The 24,419-nt window shown below is 51.5% G+C and overlaps 1 protein-coding gene, 1 long non-coding RNA gene and 6 other non-coding genes across 9 annotated transcripts in view, besides 4 other annotated features; 7 read left to right on the top strand and 1 right to left on the bottom strand.

Annotated features, from left to right (window-relative positions):
• RTL1 (retrotransposon Gag like 1) lies at positions 1–23,970 on the bottom strand. Of its 2 annotated transcripts, NM_001134888.3 has the most exons (4): positions 23,853–23,970; positions 23,539–23,634; positions 13,692–13,753; positions 1–5,122 (listed from the first exon to the last, which is right to left on the bottom strand). In NM_001134888.3, exon 4 carries the CDS (start codon positions 5,034–5,036, stop codon positions 960–962), a length of 4,077 nt encoding a protein of 1,358 aa, NP_001128360.1. In that variant the 5' UTR covers positions 5,037–5,122; positions 13,692–13,753; positions 23,539–23,634; positions 23,853–23,970; the 3' UTR covers positions 1–959. The 2 variants fall into 2 exon arrangements, with proteins under 2 accessions (NP_001128360.1, NP_001412214.1); NM_001425285.1 differs by lacking the exon at positions 13,692–13,753.
• On the top strand, positions 1,255–1,368 carry MIR431 (microRNA 431). Its single transcript, NR_029965.1, has one exon. It is a non-coding gene; the product is annotated as a microRNA 431 (primary transcript).
• MIR433 (microRNA 433) lies at positions 2,134–2,226 on the top strand. The gene has a single exon (NR_029966.1). It is a non-coding gene; the product is annotated as a microRNA 433 (primary transcript).
• On the top strand, positions 3,227–3,323 carry MIR127 (microRNA 127). The gene has a single exon (NR_029696.1). It is a non-coding gene; the product is annotated as a microRNA 127 (primary transcript).
• On the top strand, positions 4,731–4,824 carry MIR432 (microRNA 432). Its single transcript, NR_030173.1, has one exon. It is a non-coding gene; the product is annotated as a microRNA 432 (primary transcript).
• MIR136 (microRNA 136) lies at positions 4,950–5,031 on the top strand. Its single transcript, NR_029699.1, has one exon. It is a non-coding gene; the product is annotated as a microRNA 136 (primary transcript).
• Positions 5,940–6,234: a silencer, noted in NCBI's record as "tiled region #13483; HepG2 Repressive non-DNase unmatched - State 21:Repr". NCBI's record gives its function as "represses a minimal TATA promoter and a strong SV40 promoter by Sharpr-MPRA in HepG2 cells {active_cell/tissue: HepG2}" and the evidence as "EXISTENCE:reporter gene assay evidence [ECO:0000049][PMID:27701403]".
• Positions 8,904–9,073: an enhancer, noted in NCBI's record as "experimental_33596 CRE fragment used in MPRA reporter constructs". NCBI's record gives its function as "activates a minimal promoter by MPRAs in K562 erythroleukemia cells, with activity observed for the non-introgressed 14:101355078 variant allele {active_cell/tissue: K562}" and the evidence as "EXISTENCE:reporter gene assay evidence [ECO:0000049][PMID:34662402]".
• Positions 9,733–9,902: an enhancer, noted in NCBI's record as "experimental_33604 CRE fragment used in MPRA reporter constructs". NCBI's record gives its function as "activates a minimal promoter by MPRAs in K562 erythroleukemia cells, with activity observed for both the introgressed and non-introgressed 14:101355907 variant alleles {active_cell/tissue: K562}" and the evidence as "EXISTENCE:reporter gene assay evidence [ECO:0000049][PMID:34662402]".
• MEG8 (maternally expressed 8, small nucleolar RNA host gene) overlaps positions 9,897–24,419 on the top strand; it is a 109,465-nt gene continuing 94,942 nt past the window's right edge. Inside the window, exons 1-5 of the long non-coding RNA NR_146000.1 lie at positions 9,897–10,004; positions 14,947–15,018; positions 15,120–15,287; positions 17,841–17,980; positions 19,205–19,333. This is a non-coding gene — a long non-coding RNA (maternally expressed 8, small nucleolar RNA host gene). The remainder of the gene's footprint in view (positions 10,005–14,946; positions 15,019–15,119; positions 15,288–17,840; positions 17,981–19,204; positions 19,334–24,419) is intronic.
• Positions 11,328–11,829: an enhancer, noted in NCBI's record as "H3K4me1 hESC enhancer chr14:101357417-101357918 (GRCh37/hg19 assembly coordinates)". NCBI's record gives its function as "activates a minimal SCP1, AML or CMV promoter by ChIP-STARR-seq in naive H9 embryonic stem cells {active_cell/tissue: H9 hESC(naive)}" and the evidence as "EXISTENCE:reporter gene assay evidence [ECO:0000049][PMID:30033119]".
• On the top strand, positions 18,168–18,244 carry SNORD112 (small nucleolar RNA, C/D box 112). Its single transcript, NR_003080.1, has one exon. It is a non-coding gene; the product is annotated as a small nucleolar RNA, C/D box 112 (small nucleolar RNA).

The raw sequence follows: 24,419 nt of genomic DNA on the forward strand, positions 1-24,419 counted from the left end.
GTCTTTTAGTTTGCTTTATTTGAGGAGTGCAAAAAGATTGGGGGGTGAGAAAGCTCGGGGGGTGGGGAAGGGTCTACTCCCCTTGCAAAGCGGTGGTGTGGCCAGAGCCTCTCTGTGACTCGGCATGGTCCCCTGGGTGTCTGTGTGCCTTCTGGGACTCCATCCCTGTATGAGGGGCCCCTGCACCCCTGCACTGTCCAGTGTTCAGTGTTGGGAGGGAAAGGCGCCCCAAGGCATGCAGGGGCCCTCTTTGCTGTGCAAGTCTGGTAAGTGGCACTGGTACGTCCGGATGCCCCAAAGAGCGGCTTTGTCCAGGTAAGTCCAGAGCTCAGGGCAAGAGGAAGGCGGGGTCAAAAAAGCTGAAGCAGATGTGGTGGGGGTGGGGGTGGGTTTGCTTGCAGGGTGTGATGGGGGTGAGGGAGGCACCACATCATCAGATGTCGGGAGGTTGGGGGATGGGGGTTGGGGGGCGGGGGCGGGAGCTCAGGGGAGCAGGAGCACCGGCAGTGGAGGTAGAAGAAGTCAGTGGAGCACCCGAGGTCAGTGTCCCAGGGTGGCCATCACCAGGCCGGGTGGGGGGCCCCGTCACCTGCTTGCTTGGCTGCGCCTGCTGTGCCTGCTTCTTCATCTGGCCACGCGTCATGGGGTCACTTCCTGCTCACCACTGCTTTCTCCCTCATGGATGTCACTCCCGGGCATGGGCTTGGGACCTGGAGAACGGAGAACTCGTAGCCCAGGGCTGGCGCTGGGTCTCTGAGGACTGGGTAGTCCGTTAGCACAGGTGGCATTGCTGGTTGATGAGTTGAAGAAGTTGTTGCCCTTCACAAGTGGGTTCCTCTTGGGTCAGGAGTGGCAGGAAGGGAAGCGAAGCAGGCTGAGGCGCGGGGAGGCCAGGGGACGTCGGGAGGTGTTGGGGTGAGAAATAGAGGGGACTCTTTGCTGGAGACAGGGAGGCGTCTTCAGTCGAGGTTAGCATCTTCGTCCTCATCAGGCAGCTCTTCTAGCCTTGCCTGCTCCCTGGGCTGGCTCTCCCAGGCGGGGATGGGCAGGGCCCGCCTGTAGATCAGGGTCAGGAACTGGCTCAGGGCCCTGGCTGCCTGCTCCCGGCTGAGCAGGTGCAGCTGGCCATCTGCACTGTGGATGTGGAGCAGGCGGCTACCAAGGAATTCCAGGACCTGGGGATCCATCAGGTGGCGTGGGCGGGGTGGGTGGGTGGCTGCTGTGTGGCTGGGTGGGGCCTCCTGCACGTCGTTGTCCTGCTTGTCCTGCGAGGTGTCTTGCAGGCCGTCATGCAGGCCACACTGACGGTAACGTTGCAGGTCGTCTTGCAGGGCTTCTCGCAAGACGACATCCTCATCACCAACGACGTGCAGCTCCAGGTAGCGGTTCTGACGCAGGGCAGGGAGGTGGCCCTCCTGGGGGGTGACTCTGACACCGAAGAACTCACACAGCGTCAGCCAGAAGCCAGGGGTGAACTGCAGGCCTCGGTGGGCCTGGGAGTGCAGAGCATTTCGCTGCCAGCGGCCAGGGCCCAGGAACAGCTCAGCCAGCTCCTGGGCTGGGATGGTGTTTGCACCTACGAGAGCGGGCATCTGGGTGAGCAGCTGGGTGATGGCTGTCGTGATGCTGCTGCCTGCGATGAGGGACGAATCCAGGATGAGTCGTAGGGAGCGCTGGGGCTGGGGCCGAGCCACCCGCATGGCGGGTGCCGGCCGCAGCGAGAGGCATTGCCTCACGCGCAGTAGCACGAGGATGGCTGCCAGGGCTAGGGTGTTCTTCCAGTACAGGAGGCCTCGGAAGAAGTGCAGAATGACGGCCCTGATCTGGGCCATGCTGAAGTGGGCGAGGAAGCTGTTGAGGATCTGGTCGATGGGTATCATGGCCAGCAGCTCTTGCCGTAGGATCTGTTCATTGAGCTCATCCTGTTCTTCATTCTCTTCTTCCCCGGATTCCGTCGATGGATCCCTGGGGAATCCCCTTGAGGCCAGCAGCAGGGTTTGCCTGGCGGCAGTGTTCCTCTGGAAGGCTCTCCTCCACCGGAGGTTTCTCACAGGTGGCAGAGCTCGGCCGCCGTCTTGTTCTGGCAGCTCCATGACGTCAAAGTTGAAGTGGGAGAAGAAGAAGACCCAATGCCCGGGGAGAAGTACGGTGAGCCTGTCATTATTCAGAGAGGCTAGATCCTCTGTGTTGAGAAGGATCATGATGGGCTCCTCGGTGTTCTCCAGGTAGCGGCACCACACCATGAAGGCAGCCCGTATTGGAAGAATCTTCATCTCCGCTTGAGAGTACTCAACCTCGATAGGGGAGATGTTGCGGGAGTAGAAAGCGCAGCAGGCTCTCTTGCCGGTTTGGTCGTCGATTTGGATCAGGGAGGCGTGCAGGGCCGTGCCGGTGACGCCGGTTTCCAAGTAGAATGGGTTCTGGGGCTTGGGGTGGTGGAGGAGAGGCGCCTTGCGGAAAGCCCTCTTCAGGCACTCGAAGGCCTCTTGCTCCTCGACTCCCCAGTAGAACTGGTAGGAGCTCAGCAGCTGCCGCACCAGGGGCTCTGCGATGATGCTGAAGCGCTCCACGAAGTGGCGGTAGGGGAAGACGAATTCGATGAAGTTTCGCAGAGATAGCTTGGAGCCAGGGGTAGGGTACCCTGTTATGATGGTCATGACGTTCTTGTTCAGTTTCACCCCTTTGGGGGTGACGACGAAGCCCAGGAATTCCACGGTTTGGCGGTGGAACTGGCTCTTGTCCAGGGAGCAGTAGACGTTGTGATGGCGGAAGCGGACCAGGACTTGGCGGACGTGGTGGAGGTGCTCCTCCTGACTCATTGAGTAGATCAGGACTTCCTGGCCATAAGAAAGCACAAAGAACCCTAGCATGTCCTTTAGGATGAAGTGAATCACGTTCTGAGGTATGATAGGGTCTGGGGAGAGCGCAAACGGCTGGTAGCTCTTCATCTCTTCAAGCTCCAAACCAAACGCTGCTTTCCACACATCTTCGGTGCGGTGCCCGTTCACGCTTTCCTCCACAATGGTCCCACGCAGCTCCAGTTTTGTGAACCACTCGGCTCCGTGTAACTGGTCAAACAGTTCCGGAATCATCTGTATGTAGTCCTGTCTGTTGGTCAGCATGTCCTGCAGGTCCCAGTATTCCTCCTGTAGCCTGGCTCTTTCTTGCATCCTGGCACCCACAGGTTCCCAAGGCGCGGTGGAGGGACACTCGTAAAAGGTCTCGCTGTGATCACTGTCTCCAGCCTGCTGAAGCTCAGAGGGCTCTGATTCAGAAAGATCATCGGATCCGTCTGAGCTTGGCTGGTCGGAAGTCTCATCATCTGCTTCCTTCGGGTTAAACACGTCGGCCAGGTCTGAGTATGGGTGTGGCAGTCCGGGTAGCAGGCTCATGCCGTGCCTCTCTAGGGCAATGCATGGCGGGGGCGGGCGGAAGCAGTTCTTCAGGCAGTAGGGAGAGTGGAAGGTGCAGCGGCCTTTGATCCAGTCGACTTCGGGGGCGTGGACTCGGAGCCAGCGGATGCCTAGGACCACAGAGAAGTTCGGTGAAGGTACGATGTCAAATTCGATGGACTCCTGGTGGTTCTGGTGGATACACACCAGGGGCTCCGTGTAGAGCCAGACAGGCTCGTTGCCAATCAGCGAGCCGTCCACGGATTGGACCGGCTGTGGGTACGGCTTCTCGTAGAGCTCGACGTAGTGCTCTTGGGCGAACTTCTCATCCATGAAGTTGCCGTCAGCTCCCGAATCCACCAGGGCCTGGACCGCGACGCTGTGGTAGGGGTTCACTCTCACCATGAGCAGCAGGAAGAGGTGGGCGCGATTGATGTCCGGATGGACTTCGCTGGGCAACCAGCTGCTGACCATCCACCTCTCTGGAGCAGGTGAGTCGATCCAGGTCAGGTTCCGGGGGCGGGCCTCGGGGGGCAGCCTGAGCATAGCTCTTCTCTCTGCCAGCTTCTCTTCTATTTGCAGGATGAGCACAATCAGACTGTCTAGGGAATCCGGCTGAGGGACCCGGAATAGATAGTGCCTGATCTCCTCGTTGAGCCCCTGGCACAAGTGGGCCTGCAGGACTTCATCTGGCCAGCCCAAGATGGGTACCAGGCTCTGGAACTCATCGATGTACTCAGTGGCAGAGCGGCCGCCCTGCCTGATGGTGAACATGGCCTCTTCTGCCACACGCAGTGCCTGGCGGTACTCAAACACTTCGGACATGGCCTCCAGGAAGGCTGGGAAGTCTCCGATCAGGGGGCTGTTTTCCTGCAGTAGAGCTTTGGCCCATTCTAATGCCAAGCCGGACAGGTGATTGATGACATAGCCAACTCTCAGACGGTCGTTATAGAACATTCTTGGGTAGCTCTGTAAGGTCAGTTGGCAGAGTACGATGAACTCGTGGAATTCTCTGCGATCGCCAGAGAAGTGCTTTGGGGCGGGCAGTTGGCCTGCATTGATCCCTTTGATCAAGATCTCTTCTGCTACTCTCTGTTGCTCTTTGAGGTCTTGCATTCGGAAGTACAGCGAGATGATGGACCTCACCATGGCCATAAGTTCTGCGGTTGAGTGCTCGGTCTGGTTTTGCTCTTGAGGAGTCTCCTCCCTTCCCGATTCCTTCAGGTCAGTGTGAGCCTCTTGTTCTTCTCGGGCTCCCGATGGGTTGACTGATGCTTCTTTCATCCTATCAGATGCTCCACTGAGTGGATCCCCCCTTGCCTGGTGTGAACCGTTGCATGACTCCTCCAGGTCTTGGAGTAGGTCATTGGGTGGATCCTCTATTTCCTTACGTGGGCCACTGGATGGCTCCTCCATGTCTTGGAGTAGATCAGTGGGCAGCTCTTCCATTTCCTGGAGTGGGCCACTGGGGGGCTCCTTCTTTTCCTGGGCTGGGCCGCTGGCTGGCCCTGCCTCTCCCCGCACTCCACTGCCCGACGTCGCCTCGGTGGTGTTGGATGAGCCCTCGGAGGACTCCATTTGTTTTGATGATGGATTCTTATGCTCCATCATCGTCTCAAATGAGTCTTCAGAGGGTTCTATCATTTCGTCGGATGGAAAGGAGTGTATTCTGAAGATTGGTAAGGTTGTGATGGCGTCCAGTCAGTAGCTGGGACCGTGGAGATCAGAACCTGGTGGTGGAAGGGGAGTGTGGGGAGTAAAGGCAGTAGTTTAGGATCTTGTGAAGTGGCAGTATCAGGGTCTCAAGGACAAATCAGATGCCCAACTAATCAGAGCAGAGAGAAATGGGGGAAAGCCTTCTTGTATCGAGCCAGCCTCTTTGGCTGGTCACTTGGGGTGCCCCCAGGGAGGGAAGATCTGTCAACCCCTGACCTGCCTCCCAGGCTTATTCAGTCTGCCTGTCCTGTCCTTTTCCTCCATAGATGTGAGAAATTCACAGCCCATAAATTCTGTGGCTGGGAGCAGCCACCGTGGCAGGCGGGTACCTGGCAGGGTGCACAGGCTGCTCCATTCCCCCCTGGCACATGCACCTGGTCAATCCTCTTTTCCTGCTTTGGTCACCTGAGAATCACAGAGGTCACATCTCAGCACCATCCAAAGCCACCCCTGGCAGGCTCAGGGCTCTGGAGCAAGCCCAGCCACCTTGGTTGTGGAGCGGGAATCTCTAGCAAAGATGCCTACTGTTTCACCAGTGCAGTGGAAGAGGAGAAAATGGGCACTTGGCCACTGTCCCGTCAGTTGGGTCAGCAGCCCAAAATAGTTCTTATTTCCTTCCCCATGTTCAAAATAGAAATTTCAGGGGGTGTGTACAGGTCTGGGTTTTTTTTTTTTTTTTCCATAAATTTTATAACATACCTACTATGTGCTGGATAACTGCATATTTGTTACTTGATTCTAACTCAGACTTTTGGCCAATTTCTCTTTCTCGATTTGGTCTCCTTCCAATGCTATGTTCTCCCGACCTCTGAGCTGTTGAGGAGATCTTCAAATAATCTCCTTCTCTTCCTACAATCTCCACTCTCCCAGGACTGCCCTCTTTGTGAGGCTTCTGGAACTTCACACATCTGGCCTCAATTTCACCAGTGCAAGCATATCTGCACGCCTCTCCAATCTTATCCTCCCAGGTCCCCTTCTTAACGCCAGTGGGTCTGGTCTCCTCTTTCTAGCAAATATCTTTTTCTCTCTGTTGCTGGTTGAGCCCTCCCAACAGACATGTATCTGGCAGAGTTGGGACATTGAGTGTGGGGGTTGGGGGGAACATGTGACATCTTTGGAATCTGACGGTCCCAGAGTGGATTTTTGGAAATCTAGTGTTGGGTGGTTTTAGTGGGCTGAGACAGAATTGAAAGGGAATGTCTTGGTTGGGGTTATTTGCACATTTCTTCTCTGCTGGGGCAGAGCAAATTAAGCTTTGATTATCTGATAGATTAACTGTAAAGCTACTGCTCTTTATAAATTTAACACCTTTTGTTACTTCTGAGTTTTCTTCTAAGCCACTGGACCCATCCGTAAAAAAAAAAAAAAAAACTGCGTTCCCCCTTACGTGAAACTCATTGGCTAAAATCCAAGCTTTCCAACAGGATACAAAATTCAGATCTGCTGTTTCTCAAAATTAAGTACACCCTTGTTAGCATGACACTTAAATTTGATCATGCAGTCTCTCTGATTAAAGCCTTCCACTGTTTATTTACTGTCTGCAATATTAAATCCAAACCTTCTAGCGTAAACATATCTGACATGTAAACTCACCAAAACTATTCTCTGGTTAAAATGTAAGGGCCTTAATATAATATAAAATTCTTATTTTGTCATTCCTCAAGGTAGAGATCACATTTTTTTAAAGCACAGTATACAAATCAGCATGGTATAGGAATTATAAGAATCATCATCATCATCATCATGATGTACATAGCACATTGCAGAAATTAACTCATTTCCTCTCCATAAAAGTCCTCTGAGATATGCATTATTACTGTAAAATTCCAAACCTCTAATATAAAATTCTAATTGAAATACAAATAAATAATTCTAATTGAAATACAAAAACTAAGTAATTCATCTGCAGACTTATCTATCAGGAATAAAAATCTCAGCATGTCTCTCACTTAAAACTCTTTATTGGTGAAAATTTAAATTTCTTAGCAAGACGATTTAAAAACTAGATTATGCCCCCTCTTAATATAAAGTCTACACTGCTTAACATATTTACAAATTCGACCATGTGAATGATTAAATCCTTCAATGTTCCTGCCTTCAGCTCAAAATCTAATATCCTCGGCATGTTAGAAAAATCTTAATACTTCTTAACATCAAAGTTTAAACTGTTAGCAAGATGAATAAAGGTCATCTCATAATTTCTCTATTTAACACATATAAAAATTCATTTTTATTGCCTGTAAAGTTTCAACCACTTAGCATAAAATGAAAATTTTCACCGTGTAATTTACTTGCCAACTGATTAATACGAACCCCCAAATCTCATCAGGTCACTCCTAAAACCCTTTATTGGCTTAATTCCAAACCTCTTCGCATGATATAAAATTCTGACCATGTCATTCCTCAAAATAAAAAGGTCACTCTCCCTTGCAAGATACACGAATTTGCTCTTATAACTTCTGCTTAAAGCTTTATTCTATCTCTTAATTACCTATGAGATAAGGTCTAATTATTTTTAGCATAGAACAATACATTTTACTATAAAATTTCTCTGACTACTCTACCCAAGACAAAATTTCTGCCATGTTACTGCCTTAAAAATCTCTTAATGAGCCAGGCACGGTGACTCACAGCTGTAATCCCAGCACTTTGGGAGGCCAAGGCAGGTGGAACACTTGAGGTCAAGGGTTCTAGGTCAGCCTGGCCAACATGGTGAAATCCTGTTTCTACTAAAAATACAAAAATTAGCCGGGAGTAGTGGCTCATGCCCGTAATCCTAGCTACTTCTCCTAGGCTGAGGCGGGAGAATCGCTTGAACCTTGGAGGTTGCAGTGAGCCGAGATTGCGCCGCTGCACTCCAGCTTGGGCAACAGAGGGAGATTCCCTCTCAAAAAAAAAACAAGACTCTTAATGGCTGAAGTCCAAATTCCTTAGCATGGCATAAAAATGTAATTCTGTCATCCCTCAAAATAGTGTCCAAACTTCTTAGCATGCTATGTAAATTTAATCATATAACTTCTTTTTATAAAAACATGCTTTGTCTATAAATGACCCGTCTCCTCAGCATGGAGCCCAGCCTGGGTGCCCTTGTGCCCAGGGGATACCTCTGCTCACGAGTGGTCTGATGCTTATTCATTATCTGGTTCAGCAAATCCAGATACCTTAACTTAAAATATGTTTACAATCCAGTTTCTCTGGAGACAAAACCCTCATCAATTTACTTCTTAAAACGCTTTACTGGCTGACATCCGAACGCCTCTGCATGAGATTTCAACAATGAGCTCAATGAGCTCATCCCCCACCCCTTCCAAACACAGCACTTGAATGCCTTCAACTCTTTTGTAAAATCACATCTCCTTAGCATGTGAGCAAAATCTGATCATATCATCTTTATCATAGAGATCCTGTCTTATAGCTGTGCCAAAATGCACTTGTTTGAGCATGTAACTTCTCAACTTAAAACTTCTCGAGGTTTCTTCATTGCCTGTAACATAAAGTCCCAACTACTTAACACAAAATGCGACATTTTACCATGTAGTTTCTCTCAGGATGATCTATTAAAAAACCCCAAATCTCATCCTGTTCCTGCTGTAAGCCCTTTATTGGCTTAAATCCAAAGTTATTAACATGATATAAAAATTTGATCATGTCATCCCTTAAAGTCAAATTCACACTTCCTAGGACAATATATAAAATTTGATCTTATAACTCCTTTTAAAATCTTACAGTGTCTCTTAGTTGTAAATGGAAGAAAAGTCAAAATTCTTAGCATAAAATGTGAATTTTATTTTGTAATTCACTGCATACTATTTATCAAACGCAAAAAACTCACCAGGCCACTCTGTTAGAAAGTTTTATTGGCTAAATCAAATTCCTTGGCATATGCAACAGTCTAATCATGTTGGAGCCTCAAAATAAATTCCAAATTTCTTTTCATATTCGCAATATTGATCATTTAACTCCTCTGATTAAAATCTTTCAACTTTGGTGTCAACATTAATCACACCTCCTAGGCAAGCTCTGCAGGTTGAAATTGGCACTCCCCCAAGATAGAAATTCAAAATGTTTGCGCATGATTGTTAAATTGGTGGCTGTTACTTTTACAATTTCCAGTGTTTCCTTGTTGCTTGTAATGTGAATCCCAAAGCCGTTACCCGTAAAATATATTTTATCATGTTTTTCTGCATACTTATCTCCCACAAACAAGAATCTCATCATCACATTTCTTAAAACCCTTTGGCAAAAATCCAAACTCCTTAGCATGATATAAAACTTTGATCCTGTCATCCCTCAAAACAAAGTCCAGATTTCTTCCCAGGAAACTCAAATTATGAAACTCTTGCTTAAAATCTCAACGTGTTTTCATCACTACAAAAAGCCTCACCATTTTAGCAAGGCACCCACTTTTAATCATGGCACTCCCAGCTTCAAACCTGTCAAATTTCATGTCCTCAACATAAAATCTAAATGCCTGAGCATGAAATGAAAATTGGACCAATTATTTCTTACATTAAAAATCTTTGGATTGCTCTTCTCTACTTAAACTATAAAGCTGAAGTTCTTTTCGCATGAAACTAGAACTTTTCACCACCTACAGTTTCCAGCTTCCATTTCCTGTTCCTCACGCTTCTCTCTGAAAAGACTGAGTTTCCCATTCTCCAGCCTCCAAATGCATTTCGATTTTATTGTCCCCAAATGTTTCTTTTCTTTTTTTTGTTTAACCACGTCCCTCTGCCCATAATTCATTAATTCATACAGCAGCATGTCCTGATTCTTTTTCTGGGCCAGGCACGGTGCTCGATCCCCAATGGAAGGAAATGGAGGCAGACCCATCTTGCAGGTCATCACCAGGAAGGAGATGAGACTCATGTCCTGGAGACGAATACCCCACTGGAGGTGAGTGAGGGGCCTTGGAAGCAGGGCCAGGGGGTTCCCTCCACACCTGCTGAGCATCTGCCTCTCTGGGAGGGCTTTGGGCGTTGTTGGGGCCTGTCGGGCCTCCAAATTCTGGCTTTAGATGGGCACTCTGGGATTCCCATCTGGCTTCACCTGCCTACCAGCTGGCCTGCCATAGCCTGGGCCCTGCCTCTTCTCTGCGCTTTGCAGAAATCATATTCTCAGTCCTTCAGCTGTGGCTCAATACATGTTGTTCTCAAATCTCATGACAGTTTCTTTAAGAAATATCTACTGATTTGAAAATTCCCGCCTTATTTGAAAAAAAAAAAAAAAAAAAGAAGCCCAGAATTTAATGCTGCTGGTTTGGGGTCACAACTGCCTTTGAGGTCTTCGAATGGGACCCTCTTCCCCCCAACACTCAAGAGACAGACGCCCCAGCCTCACCACCTTCAGTGCCCAGAGCCTCTGTCGGGTCAGCTCCTTGCTTGCCTCTGAGCCAGTGGCCCATTGGGTCAGGGCTGCCAACGTGTGTCTATGAAGGGTTGGGTGTGGGGGGGGCCATGGGGGGGACAAATCCCTCAGCAAATACCTCTCTCTGTCAGCTCGCCTGTACAGTAAAGGAAATCTGATTTTAAAAATAGAGCTTGGAAGAGGAGATGAGAGGATATTTAGGAGCAGAGTTGAGCCTGGGGCGGGGGGCCGGGGTGGGGGAATTAGGGGAGAGGTGAGGACAGGGGAGGAGGGTGGGAGGCTGGGGGCTGAGGAGGAAGGTGAAGCTGGTGAGGAGTGGGGAGGCTGTGAGGATGGAAAGGGGAGTAAGGGAGAGGTGGGTTCTCTGGAATGCTGGCCATGCCTCCTCTCCTGGCCTCCAGAAACTAGCCCAGTCACACCTGGGGCCCCTGGCTCTCTGGGCTGCCAGGATGGGTGTCAGGTGAAGATCCCTGTCCATCTTGGCCTCCTTGTAGGTGGTGCTCAGAGCTCCTTGGGTTTGAGGGACATAGCTACTGGGTCTTAGGAGGGAAGTGGCCTCAAAATGAATACCCCCAGCAGCTCCCTCTGCTGCCTGGCCTGCTGTGGCCTCCTGTGGATGGAAGGCACAGCGTCACAGTGAGGGTGGACATGCAGGGACCCTGGGAGGGTTTGTTATTATTTATCGATTATTATTATTATTTATTTTGTTGAACTCGTGTCAAGGTTAAGATGTGTCCATGGCAGCTTGAGGCTTGGAAGCCTTCCTGGTTTCCCTGGTATGAACAAGTGTCAAGGATGGCTCACTTGATGGGACTTGGTGAGGAGGCTGGTGAGATTCCTGGGGGCTTCCTGAGGGCCTCATAAGGAGTTTGGGTTGGGTCCTGGGGATCCCAGTGGACTGTGGAGTCTGCAGGGGCTGCTGGCCTGGCATAGCTTATGTTGGAGTCCCTCCCCCCGGGACCCTTCAATCTTGCACACCCCTGACTTGTGGCTAAAGACGACTTGAGCCTTACAGGGTGGGAGGCCGTTGGCATCTCGGCCCAGGGCAGCCCAGTCTCGGACATTCCCTCTCTTCCCCTATGGTCTGGACCGAGGTCCTTGAATGCCAGGCCCCATGGGCCTCGGACTTCATCGTAGTGATGGGGAAACTGAGTCTTTGGAAGGAGGAACAGGGAGTTACAGTAGAACTACGCTGTCCCCAGGGCGTGTCTAAATCCCAAACCACCCAGCAGGGTGGGGGTCTTCTGTAGAGGGACCCCCAGCCCCTCACCTTGCTAAGCCACTGAGGTGACAGGGAGTGCCTGGGCCCAGCAGCGCTCCTGCTGCTGTGTCCCTGCCCCCTCTATGCTTGACTGGCAGCTCCAGGGGGCAGCTGTATCACTCTGCCCAGAATAACCCTGGGAAGGGGCGTGTGCCGCCTGCGGGAGGGGCTGTGCGAGGGGTCACGGGTGAGCTTGTCCTTCTTGTCTTGCCCAAATCAGCGGGGCCAATCAGCTGCTCCTGAGGCTGATCTTGCCTTTCAAGGCAAGTGGGCAGGGACAGGTCTGCACCGGCCTCCTAGCCTAGATGGGCTCTGACTGTCAACATGACCTTCCTCTCCCAGGTCCTCAGTTTCCCCATGTCTGCAGGGAGGGTTTCGGTGGTGGTCTTCTCACTGTGCTCCTGTAGCTCTGGGGTTCCTAAGAGGTGCCTGCGGGGGTCCCTGGGAAACAGTAATGAGAGGAGGTGGCTGGCCCAACAGGTGGAGCTCAGGGACACCCATTGCTGCCTTAGTTCCACCAGCTGCTCCTATAAATTGGGGTCGTCGTATTATTTCATTTAAACAGAGGTTGCCAGATCTGAGCAATGGTTGAAAGCACAGACTATGTGGTCTCTTCTAATGGCTTGTCTTGATTTTCCAACCTGGGCTGGGAGGGGTGTAAGAGTGGAACCTGCTCATCTCTGGTGGGCTCTCTACTCTCACCCAGTGGGCTGCATGGACAAGCCCAGGTGGCTGCAGGCCTAGGAGTGGAGCTGTTCTTAGAGTAGGAAGGTGAAGACTTTGAGGCAAACAAGGAGGGCCCCACCTCAGGGCCTGGTGGAACTAGAATGAGGGCAGAAGGCAGATGAGAGGCTGGCTAACCTTGCAGAACCTCAGTTTCTAAGGGGATGATTAGAAAGGTAGGAGCACCTCCTTCCAGGGAAGACGGGTGTGTGAAGCCCTTTGTAAACTGTAAATGCTATGGACAAGTCAGGGATAGCTACCGTCATTAGGATTCTTACGACTGTTACTTCCAGAACACCCACTGTAATTGTATGGTCAAGATTTGGACAGCATTTCATGCATGGTGTCAACTTTAATTTTCCCGTTAACCCCACAAGGGGACGATGCCCTGCTTGGAGAGTAAGTAAACTAGAGTCCAGAGGGGTGAAGTGGCTCCTCTGGAACCATAATTATCGGCGACAATGGTGCACAGACCCAGCATACAGGACCTTCCCCGGGAGGGGCAGGCTGATGACTGGAGTTGGTGAGGGGTACGTGCGGAAGACGGAATGTGACCCAGAAAGGGACGACTAGAATGTATTTATTAAATACATTCAAATGAGTCTCTGAGTACCTGCTCTGTGTCAGGCGTGATTCTAGCCACTCACCCCTAAAACTGACTTTGCTCCTAACGAGTTGGGGGATGTGCTGCCGTCTTACAGAGTTAAACTGGGATTCGGAGGGCGAGGTGCTGGCACAAGGCCCCCGAGAGACAGAGGCAGGGTTTAAAGCCAGGTTTCTCCTGGGCAGGAGCAGATGCCCAGAGTGGGGTTGGCAGTTGCCATTTGGGAAACTGTTGGGACCTTCAGAGCCAGAGATGCCATCTTCATTCCATGGTGTTGATACTGCCAGCCTCGTGGCCTGAGGGGCATCCAGACCACAAGAGTGGGGGTCTCAGTGTCTGCCTCCATCTCCCCCAAAGGTGCTTGCTGTCATTCCCAACTCATTCTAGCTTATTTGGTGTTCGAGGAGGGACAGGACAGCTGGCCCAGGACCTGCTAATTATAGCTGCTCAAGTATTTGAATAGAGGCCTTGAGTACACACCACCATGTCATGGTTTTTTCTTACAGACGAATGAACACTTTAACCCTTGTCCTGAGTGCCAGGCCATCCCATTCACTGCCCCACCTCCCCTGCCTGCCCACCCGATCCCTGGGGGAGGTCGACATGGGACCTCTGCCCCACATCTTACCTTGGCTGCAAGCGTTCAAGTGGATCTCCTCCCGTCCTGTGCCACTCGATCCTCGCTGCTTGCTAAAAAGTTATTGAATACATTTGTTTCTTTAATTGTGAAAGTCCAGTCTTTTTGACATGCGTACATTTTCTACAGTAGCAACCACAGTGCACACACACAGTCTTCCAGCCTGCTCTGCTCGCGTGCCTTTCTGTTGTGAGCTTTTTTCCACGTGGCTACGTTGGGGACCTCCGTGATGCTTCCTGAGTGCTTACTATGCGCCAAGCGCTGCTTTCACCATTTTACAGGTTTTCACTCTTTCAATCGTTCTAAGAAGCTGCGAGGGCCTTCCTTTTATTATCCCCATTTTTCAGAAGAGGAATCCGAGGCCTTGGGACCTACACCCACCCTCACACCCGGGCCCACGCTCACTTTAATAACCCGGACTGGGCAAGGACTAAGTCCAGCCAGAGCGTCAGCCTCGCTGGCGTCCTCACTGGCCATGGCCCTGCAGCCTTGCTCTTCAGTTCCTGGAAGCCTCCTGCCCTTGGTGGACAACCATTTTGCTCTCTAGCAAATGGATAGAAAAGTTTATGTGAGTCTGGCTGGGCGGGGTGGCTCACACCTGTAATGCAGCTCGTTGGGTGGCTGAGGCAGGCAGAGCATTTGAGGTCAGGAGTTCAAGACCAGCCTGGCTGACACCGTGAAACCTTGTCTCTACTAAAAATACAAAAATTAGCTGGGTGTGGTGGCGTGCGCCTGTAATCCCAGCTACTTGGGAGGCTGAGGTAGGAGAATTACTTGAATCTGAGAGATGGAGGCTGCAGTGAGCCGAGATCATGCCACTGCACTCCAACCTGGGCGACAGAGTGAAACTCCGTCTCAAAAAAAAAAAAAAAAAGAAAAAAAAAGAAAAGAAAAAAACGTGTATTTGAGTCTGGGCCCCGGCCTCTGTTGGACTTTGAGTAAATCTTAATTTAGCACCCTGAGCTGCAACTCCTTTCTCCTGACCCTGCCACCTGCATGCGCCATTCAAGTGGCTGCGCCCCAGGCTGCTCATCCCTTCCGCCCTGGGTCCCCATACACAGCAACCCCATGGGGTTTTTGTCCTGCTCCTTCATATTAATCTGCATTGGTGACTCCTTTGTCCCATCTTCCCTCAGCACACAGTAGGGCTGCTGGCAGCAGGTGAGGCCTGGGGCAAGGGCTCAGAGAGGCAAGATGCCATTTGGCCATGCCACCGAGTGAGCAGTTTCTCTTCTTGCCCTCCCAGGTGGCGTGAAGGGGAGATGGCTGCTTTCTCCTGGGAAGGGAGCAGATGCCTGGCCCAGGACCAAATCAAAAGGTCTGAAAAATGATATTCATTGTCCTAATGTGTAAATTTCGACAATTTGCAAATTTGTAGATTCTTTAGAATAGAACTAACTCAAGCCCTTCATTCTGCAGCTGAGGCTCACTGCCCCCAGTGGGCAGTGGGTCCAGGGGGTTTCTGAGGACAGGGCATGACCCAGCCCTGCTGCCCCCAAGATGGCACCTGGCTTGGAGGGGTGAGGGGCCCTGTTAGTCTGACTTTGAAGAAGACCAGCCTTCCAGACTCGCTTGGTGCCCTGACAGGTATGTGTGCTCTTCTCTCTCCCACCTAACAGCCCCTTTTGGGAGACAGGGTCTGAGAGGAGTCAGGGTCGTATAACCTTAACACAGTGTGTTATCCAAAAACCCACTAACCCTGTTACTCTTGTCTGTCTGCTATGTGAAACCAAGGGCGGTGTTAAAGTTTATCACCATGATATACAGATGTGCGTGGGGACATCTGGGATGGGGCTCAGGGGTCTACCTGGAGGTCAGAGAGGGCAGGATCTGCTTAGGGGAGATGGATGACTGTGGGGGTCAGACAGGGCAGGGTTTGCTTAGGGGAGATGGATGACTGTGGACATGTGGCTGTAAATCATCCTCCCCGTCTTACATAGGATGGGGATGCAACTTTCAAGAGTTGCCTTGATTGGTACCTTAAAGGAAATAAAACATAAAATGCTTGGCACATAGTAGATGCTCAACACATGTAGAAAAGGCACTTATTTTAGGTGGATCTGCCGCCGAATGGCCCTTTTGCAAGCTCTTCTCATTTTTTGGAATCCAAAGGGAAGGTGTGGGGAGCAGGGTCGGGGTGGAGGGGAAGGACGACGTGAGGTTGCAGAGGGCATTTTCTTGAGGCAATGGCATATCTTTCATTGGTACTGGCTGGGTTTATGCGGACTTTGAGAGGAGTGGAGTGTCTCCAAGTGGGGCTACCCCAGCCTGCAGGTTGGATGCAGGTAACCTCAGTCTGGGCACTGCATTTTTATTTACCATAAAAATATTTCATATTTGCTGGGTGTGGTGGCTCACGCTTATAATCCCAGCACTTTCGGAGGCCGAGGCCGGTGGATCACCTGAGGCCAGGAGTTTGAGACCAGCCTGGCCAACATGGTGAAACCCCGTCTCTACAAAAATACACAAAATTAGCTGGGCGTGGTGGTGCATGCCTGTAGTTCCAGCTACTCAGGAGACTGAGGCATGAGAATTGCTCGAACCTGGAAGGCAGAAGTTGCAGTTAGCCGAGATTGCACCATTGCACTCCAGCCTGGGTGACAGCAAGACTCCGTCTCAAAAAAAAAAAAAAGAAAGAAAAATTGCAAAACTATAGCAATCACCTCAAGGTTTTCACAGGAATCAAACTCAGTCCAAACTAAAATGCTGTGTAATAAATAGTGGGGCTTCACGTGCAGGAAAGGCGATTAAGAGCGAGGCATGCAGGCCGAGGGCTGCTTAACCTGTCTCAGATTTCTTCCGCACAAAGTCATGGTTGAAAATAGGTCTCTGCCTGGCAGAGGGTAAAGAAGTTCTCGAAGGCCTCTGTCTGCATTAGCTTGGTGAGAGGGAAGACATTTAACCAATTAACCAATTAGTGATCTGTGCGGATGGAGACTGAGCAGGACGAGGGTGCCACCCGACTGGGTGTAAAGTGGGCTTAGTTTTGTCTTCTTGGTGTCTGGGAGCCTCAGTGCCTTTCTACGTAGATGGGAGTATGCTTGTCACATCCTTGTCACACAAGTAACCCTGTGCCTGTTTGAGGATTCCAAGAGCCTGTGACGGCTGCAGGGGGCCCTGAAGCTTAGTGTGCAAGCAGGAGCTGGGGACAGAGGGGCTTCTGACGGGAGTCGGGGTGCCTCCTCTGGATGTGGGGGTGGGCTAGGGTGGGCAAAGGTTGCTTCCCGTTCTCCTGCAGCTGACAGTTAGAAATGCCAGTGCCGTTTAGCCACAGTCCCTCTGGGTTAGAGTCGGGAAGAAACATGGCAGTTGTGTGTTTTGCACAGGAATCAAGCTGTCAGGGGGCACAGTGAGGCCCCAGCTCCTTACCAGCAAGCCGTCTAGGCTGCGAACGCGAGCCGCCGGGCCGCAGCTCTCTAGAGGTCCCTGTCCCCACCGCCTGGCCCCATCTCATGTCACATTCCCCCAAGGTCTCATTCCACTCGGCTAATCTCCAAGAACACCGGCCAGGGCATTGGCTTTCGGGTCCTTTTAAAGACCAAAAAGTAAAGCACTCCCCCGTGGGTGCTGGACAGCTTGGGAGGGATTTGGGGCTGTGGGTGGTGAAATCACAGCCCTGGGCACACACCTGCCAGCCCGATGTCACTGACAGGCTGCTCGGAGGCTTGGGGCTCCAGTGAGAGCATATAGATATTTTTTAAAAAACATATTCGCGATAAAATAAATCCCCTGTGTCTGCAGAACTTGCTCTGGGCATGTACCCACTCCCAATCCATCAGGAAACATGCCCTTTGCTTTGTATTTGTAAAAACAGAAACAAAAACAAAAACAACCCACAGGCGAACAAGCAAATTAAATCCCCCCCACACAAAATGTTTATTCTAATTATGCAAGAAATGGATTGATAATTAATACACGCATTAGTAAAAATCAAACACTGCAGATAAAGCCATCTTTAATGCTTCCCTCGATCCCTCCCCATCACCCCCCAGCAAATTAACTGCTCTTCTCAGTTTCAGGCGTCTGGTTCCAGATATTTTTTTCTGTGCATTTGCATATGTAGATAAATATACCTCTAAAATCTATGACTTTGTTTATTTTTTACATAAACTATATCATAGTGTACATTTCCTCTCGCAGCAGCTTGTGTTTCTTCCTTCAAGAGTCTGCTTAGAGATAATAAAGATCAACACTATTCCTTATAACAACACCTCAGTATCCTGCGAGCTGTACACACCAGAGTTTATTTAACCACCTTGCTGCTGGCATGAAAGCCTCAGGTCCTTTACCCTGGTTGGCGGGGGGGGGGGTGGGGGGGTGGGGGGCGGGGGGGGGCAGTGAATTGGTGGCGGCAGGTGTAAGTAATTGCTGAGATTTGGGTTTGGGGAGTGGGCTCACGAGTGTTTATGACATTATTATAAATGAATATATGAGTGCATAAATTAGCAAAATAAAAGGGGGCTTTTCTGGACCAATGATGAGACAGTGTTTATGAACAAAAGATCATGATTAATCCAGTTCTGCACAAAACACTGAGGTCCATTAGAAGACAATAGGTCTTGGCTGTTTCATTCCTTTTAAGAGCTGTTTAATATTCCACGGTATGTATGCACCATTGTTGATTACACTCTTCTACTGTTGAAAATCCCAGCTGAAAGTGCTCTGGGGGAGGAGAAGCTTTGGTCACAGTCCTAGCCGTCAGGGTGGGTCACAGATTCATAGGTGTTCATTAAATTATTTTTTAAAAAAGAATACATAAAAATGGTGCTTAATGCAGATCAGTGAGGAAGCGTGTCACAAATCGAGGTTTTAATTAATACGATTCTGCTCAACTAATGCCCGATAAAAAAGATCTAAGCTGTTTCCATTTTTTGTTGCTGTTACCAACGACACTGCAGTGAGCATTCTTGCAGCTAAATCTGTAAACACATCCTCGACTGTTCCTTTACCCCAGCTTCTTAGAGATGGGGTGGTGGGTTAAATTGTTTGCAAAAGTTTATTTTCATTGAGTGATCTTTCTAAAATGGCATTTTGACCTTGTTACTGTCTTGCTTTAAAGCCTCCATCTGACTTCCTGGAGCTTCCGGGACGGGGTCCAAAAAATAAGGCCTTATCCTGGCATGGAAGACCCTTTAGGGTCTGTCTTGGAACTTGCCAGCCTCAGCCCCTCCCCACTGGTGTTTACCTGCTAGGCGCACCTCACCCCCACGGGGCTACCTGTTTCTCTCAGCGGGCTCCCTACTTCTTAGGCTTTGCGCGGCCGTGCCTTTTCAGCCAGTTTCTCCCCGGCCTTAAAGAGCAGGCTTGAAATATCCCTGTTGGGGAGCCCAAAGTTAGATGGGCCCCACGAAACACTGTGTTCAGAAGCCCACCGAAGCCCTGACCCTGGAAGTGGGATGCCTCATTGACATTTTTTTCCCAATTAAAGGGAATGTTTTGCATTTTTCTAGAATTGATGAAACTGGTCAACTGTTACTCACCCTCCTTCCTTTGTCCCTTTCTAGGAGCCCTGGGCTCCCCCAGTGTTGCCTGGGTCTGACTTTGCCTCAGTGAAAACTGCCTCGAATTCTTTCTTGCACCGATGGGCAGATGGGCAGTGTCGGAGGATCGTGTCATCTGTCCCGTGGCGCTGGGTAAGTCTGCAGTGTTGTAAAGCTGCAAACACCCTTCTGGGTGGGGCTCAGGCTGGCACCCCCCCACTGCCCCAGCCTGCGCTATACCACGTTCCCCTGATGCTTGCCTTGTGCCGGGCCCCAGAACCCAGAGTCATGGGGTCCACAGCGCGGGAGTAGCGTCTCAGTGTTGTGAGTTCTGGGGATGAGGTTCGGGGTATGATTACAGCTTGGAAATGGCTGATTGCCATTATGGCTCCTCCTTGCCAGAGGTAAACGGGTCTGGTCCCAGAACAGGAGGAGGACATGTGATGACTGGAGTAACGATGAGGGGCTCTGGGGAAGGACAGGGCTGAGAGCAAGTGCTGGGACCTTTGGGACCGAGTCATATTCTAAAAAGAGCACAGGCTTTGGGGGAGAGGAGCTGTGAGGCCAAGGCAGCATCCCCCTGGGGAGCTTGTCAGGAGTAACAGGAGCCACTGGCAGTGTTTGGGCTTTTGGTCCCTTTTTTTCTCTCCCAGGGGAAGGGAGAAGGAGGCATTGCAGGAAGCCAGCCACCCTGAGCACAGACCCAGCTACAGAACAGACTTGAGCTGCGTGTCCTTGGCAAATCCCCAAGTGTTTCTGTGCCTTGGTTTCCTGATATTAAAAAAAAAAAAAAGGACTCATAATCTCTCTCACACAGGGCTATTGAGATCTCAATGAGGAAATAACGCAAATAAATCATCCAGCACAGTAGCCAACACGCAGTACCCAGCAAAACTCGGTAGCTCTCCCCATCTTACCCCGTCATGAAATGCTTAACCCCCTCCCTGAGACGGGCAGCTGCTCCCTTTCAGGGCAGGGAGACCCAACAGAGGACAACACAAATGCCAGAGAGAGTGTGAGGGGCAATAAAAGCTGATGCTCGCCTCCCTCCCAGACATCTTCCCAGGGAAAAGTGTGCTTTCTTGAACACCTGGGGGCCGGGGAAGGGGCTGCCCTACCACTTTGAATCGGGTTTCCCGAAAAGTTTGGTGAGAGTTTATTTTTATGTAAATAACATATAAAAAGTCAGACTTCTCCACAGGCAGATTTTTTGAGGCTCATATTTTACAGACTTTGGCAAGGGTCACTCGGAAGGAACAGTGGTTACAGTCTCCAGAGGTTCATAATTCCTGGAAAAACTTCTGGCCAAACCTGACTTCTCCTAAATTTCACAGAAAATTCTCCCTGGGCTGGGCTCAGGCTAAATGAGCTTTTTGTGTGTTAGTACAGCCTTACCTAGTGGAAGCATGACTTGCACGTTGCCCTTTACACAAAAGGGAACCTCCTCGGCCGCTGTGAACAAAGGCTCCGCTCTCCGAAATGTTTGATTTGTTTACTCGGGAGCGTGAGCCTGGTCAGGCACATGTCTGATACTGGGGCTATTTCTCTGCGGCCATATGTAGAGCTGTCCAGGTCTCTGCAATTTAACCCTGCGCTTCATGCCAGAATCCCATTTCCTAACTTCCTCAAGCAACGGGGCAAGGGAACCACAGCAAAAAGGAGTGTAGGGGGAGTGTTCCCTCCGTGTCCGGCAGGGGCTAAAGGGCTTGCTGCCCTGTGGCGTCTGCCTCTAAATAGGGATTTGGGTCGGTGACTTTTCACATCTACACCAAAGCCCTTCAGAACCCTTTCTGCACCACCAGCTATCCTGAACCAGAAATCCCTGTTCACAGAATTTCCCATGTGGGTGCCTCTTGTTCTGCACCCTGCATCGCGCCCCCTCCCCCGTTTATGTAAATGACACATGTAAATGTCACTCTCCCAAACATTTTCACACCTGCAGCTTCAAATCAACCTTTTAATAGGTTAAAACAACAGCACCAACAAAAACCAACAAAAACAGAGGCTCCCGAGAAACAAACAGTTTTTCCCGAAGGGCTTGCAGTGCCTAACTGAGCTGCCAGGGCCGTCTGTCTGTCTGTTAGCCAGGAAGGCAAACCAGCCTGCGCACTCCACCTGCAACACGATGCTGCCCCCCCACGGCGGGTCGGAGCAGCTGTGGCGACCCCAGGGCTGACAGATTGGGTTGTCAGGAGCAGGACAATGAGGCTGCAGTGAGGATGGGCTCCATCCTTGAATGACTCTGCCCTCCTTGAAATTTTTCTGCTCCATGGAGGTGCATCTCTGCCCCCGAGGACCTTGGGCATTTCACAGACAAGGAGCCCTGGCTGGCCTCGCAGCCATCCCCCATATGCACACACGCACACGCACAGACATGCGCGCACACACACATGCTGAGTGCCTGCACTGGGAGCATAAGGCAGAAAACTCCTTTGGAAACTGCAGAACAGAGCCTTGTCTAGCAGAGGTCCCCTGATAAAGGTCCCACAGTTCCTGGGAACTGAACCCCTGTGAATGGGCCAGGAGAGGCAGCTCCCGACTCCCGTGTGGGCTGCATTCATCAGCAGGCCGGCACCCCAGCCCTGTCACTGTGTGAGGAGCTTTCATGAGTCCACTGAACATGTAAGTCACAGTCTGGCAGCTGGCTGCATCTGTGGTTGCTGCTCAGCCTCCAGAAAAGGGCCCCTCAACCTGCCAGACCTCCTCGCTCCTTCCACTCACTCTGCCAGCCTGTTGCCCCAGAGAGGACACAGGCCAGCCTCTGTGGGCTCAGGAGCCAGGGCAGGTGCTTGGCCACTCTAGGTGTTCTGGCCCTCAAGAGGGGAGTTGGCAGCAGGACAGTCCCCACCTCCCCCCACCAGCCCTGGGCACTCAACCCCATTCTCTGCTCCTCTCCCTCATTGCCTTATTGGGACAGAGGCACCCCGCCAACCATCTCTGTGCCTTTGCCATTTAGCCCAGGGCAAGCTACTCGGGAGAGGCCAAATGGCCTCATACTGACCCCTGCCTGGTCCCCTCTGGCCACCTCGCTCACTTGCCCGCTTGCCTGCTCAGGAGTTGGTGCTGTGGGAGCTTCTCAAAGGCCTAAACATGTGGGCTGCCAGCCTGGGCAGGAAACCGTGCTGCAGCCTTCTCAGCCAAGCACTGGCCTGCCTCTCTCCCCTCGGATGCCTCCTGTAACAGGGAGCTCCCTCTCTCCCCAGGCAGCCTGCTCAGGGCTCGCACGCAGAGCTGCTTTGCTGAGCCCTCCCCTGCCTTTTGCATCTGCCTCCTCGGCTGTGCAGCAGCCCCCTTGCCCCCTCTGCCCTCCGATCTCTGCAGGCTGTGGGCTCCCTCTCTTTTCAGTCCTCTCCTTTCTGTGCTGAATGGCAATACCCCCACCAATGGTGGGAACAGGATTGGGCGCCTCTACACCTGTCCTAACACCTCTGTCTCTGTTCTTTTAGACCTGGGACAGAGCCCTTTGCCCTGCTGTTCTGCTAAAAGCCCAGGGGAGGGCGTGGTGCTCCCCTCCTGGGGCCAGCTGCTCCATGTCTATCTGTTGAGCGGCTTCTCAGCCCTCTTGGGTTTTCTATGGCCCCTTTTCCAGTTGCTAGGGAGAACGCTCTGTATGCAGCCCCCTGCCTTTTCTGCAGGAGCTGCTGGCCTCCCGGCCAGCCCTGGTCAGCCCTGCAGTAGCAGCAGCAGCAGCAGCAGCAGCAGTAGGCAGCCACAGCAGGGCTGGGGGCTCCCGAGCCAGGCAGACCGGCTTGACTCCCTGCTCTCTAGCTGCAAGACAATTCCCTTTACTTTTCAGACTCGGCTTTTCCCCTGTGAAATGGAGATGAGAGTTTCTCCGTCACTGGCGTGAAGTGAGGACTAAATGAGATAAGTGTAGGCTTGCACACATCAGACACTTCATAAATGCTTGTGGAGTAGACGGTGGGACCCAGGGAGGGAGAGAGAGGTATGTAACAAGTGTCGCAAGAGAGAAAACAGCCTGGCCTTTCAAGACCCTGCTCCCAATACAAACGGGAACCTCTCCTGGCAGAGTCCCCTCTGCTGGCTTAATCGCACAAATCAAGTCAGCCGGAGGCAGCCCCCGGCCTGTGGAACTCACAGTAGATGCAGCAGGCAGCATAAATGACATGCAGAGCCCACATCTGCATTTAATAGACCGAGAATTTGCATTGTATATAACAGCACGAGGGGTAAAGCATGAAGGCATAAAGGAACAGTTTTTCCCGGCGGCTTCCTTGAAGGGCCAGCTTAGACAGGGGTCTGGGGAGGAGAAACTCAGCGGGGTCCGGGCATCCCATAGACTATGGGACAGACATCCATCCATGCACTCATTCTCCAAGCCACCACAGTGTACCTACCTTCCCCGGGCCCAGTCCCAAGCGTGAGGCTGGGGATGAAGTGATGCCGGTGGCTTAGTGATGCCGGTGGCTTCCTGTCCTCGAAGCTCAGTCGGTCTGGTGGGGGAAACAAACAGGGAATAAGACACTGGAAATTGAGGTGATCAAGAGGGGGTGCAGGCATGGAGATTTATGGAGCCCCGTCTTGGAGCCAAGTCCCGAACTGGGCTGTCTGCAAAGAACTCACCCGGGCAATAACCCTGCACACTGGTCTCATGAGCCCCATTAGATTGATGAGGAAACTGAGGCACAGAAAGGCAAAGTCCTATACTCACCGTCTCTCAGCTGGTGTGAGGCTGGGCCAGGATGGAACCCCAGACTCTCCGAGGCTCCCCACCACACCCTGCTGCTGAAGGCTGCTCAGCGAGGCTGTGCCGAGTGCTGGGGGGGTGTGGGTGGGCAGGGGACGGATTGATTAGTTATAAGCACCTCCCAGCGGTGCTTGAGATCCCAGCTCCTCTGTGGCCCAATCCGTTTGAAGGGCAGATTCAAAATTAGGTGGTAGCACCTATGGGCAGAGGCTTATGAAAATGGCATTATTAACCTGATGTGGAGAGGGCCCTGCCTGTCTGCAAGTAGATTGCAGATAGAGACGGAGGGGGCTGGGCTTGTTTGTGTGGACAGTGAGTTAGAGAGGACAGAGAACATCCAGGGGCCCTCCAGGGCTTCCGGACGGGGAGAACCAGATCTGGAGGGGCTGGACAAGTGGGAGGGGGAAGAGGGGTACGTCTTAAGGGTGCCCCGGCACCTCAGGGAAATGCCCCAGGCTGGACTTGGAGGAGGATCTCCAGCCTTGACTCTGACACAGACAGGGACTATGGCCCTCCCCGCACCTCGGTTTC

This window comes from Homo sapiens, chromosome 14, assembly GCF_000001405.40.
Source record: "Homo sapiens chromosome 14, GRCh38.p14 Primary Assembly".
Taxonomy (NCBI): Eukaryota; Metazoa; Chordata; class Mammalia; order Primates; family Hominidae; genus Homo; species Homo sapiens.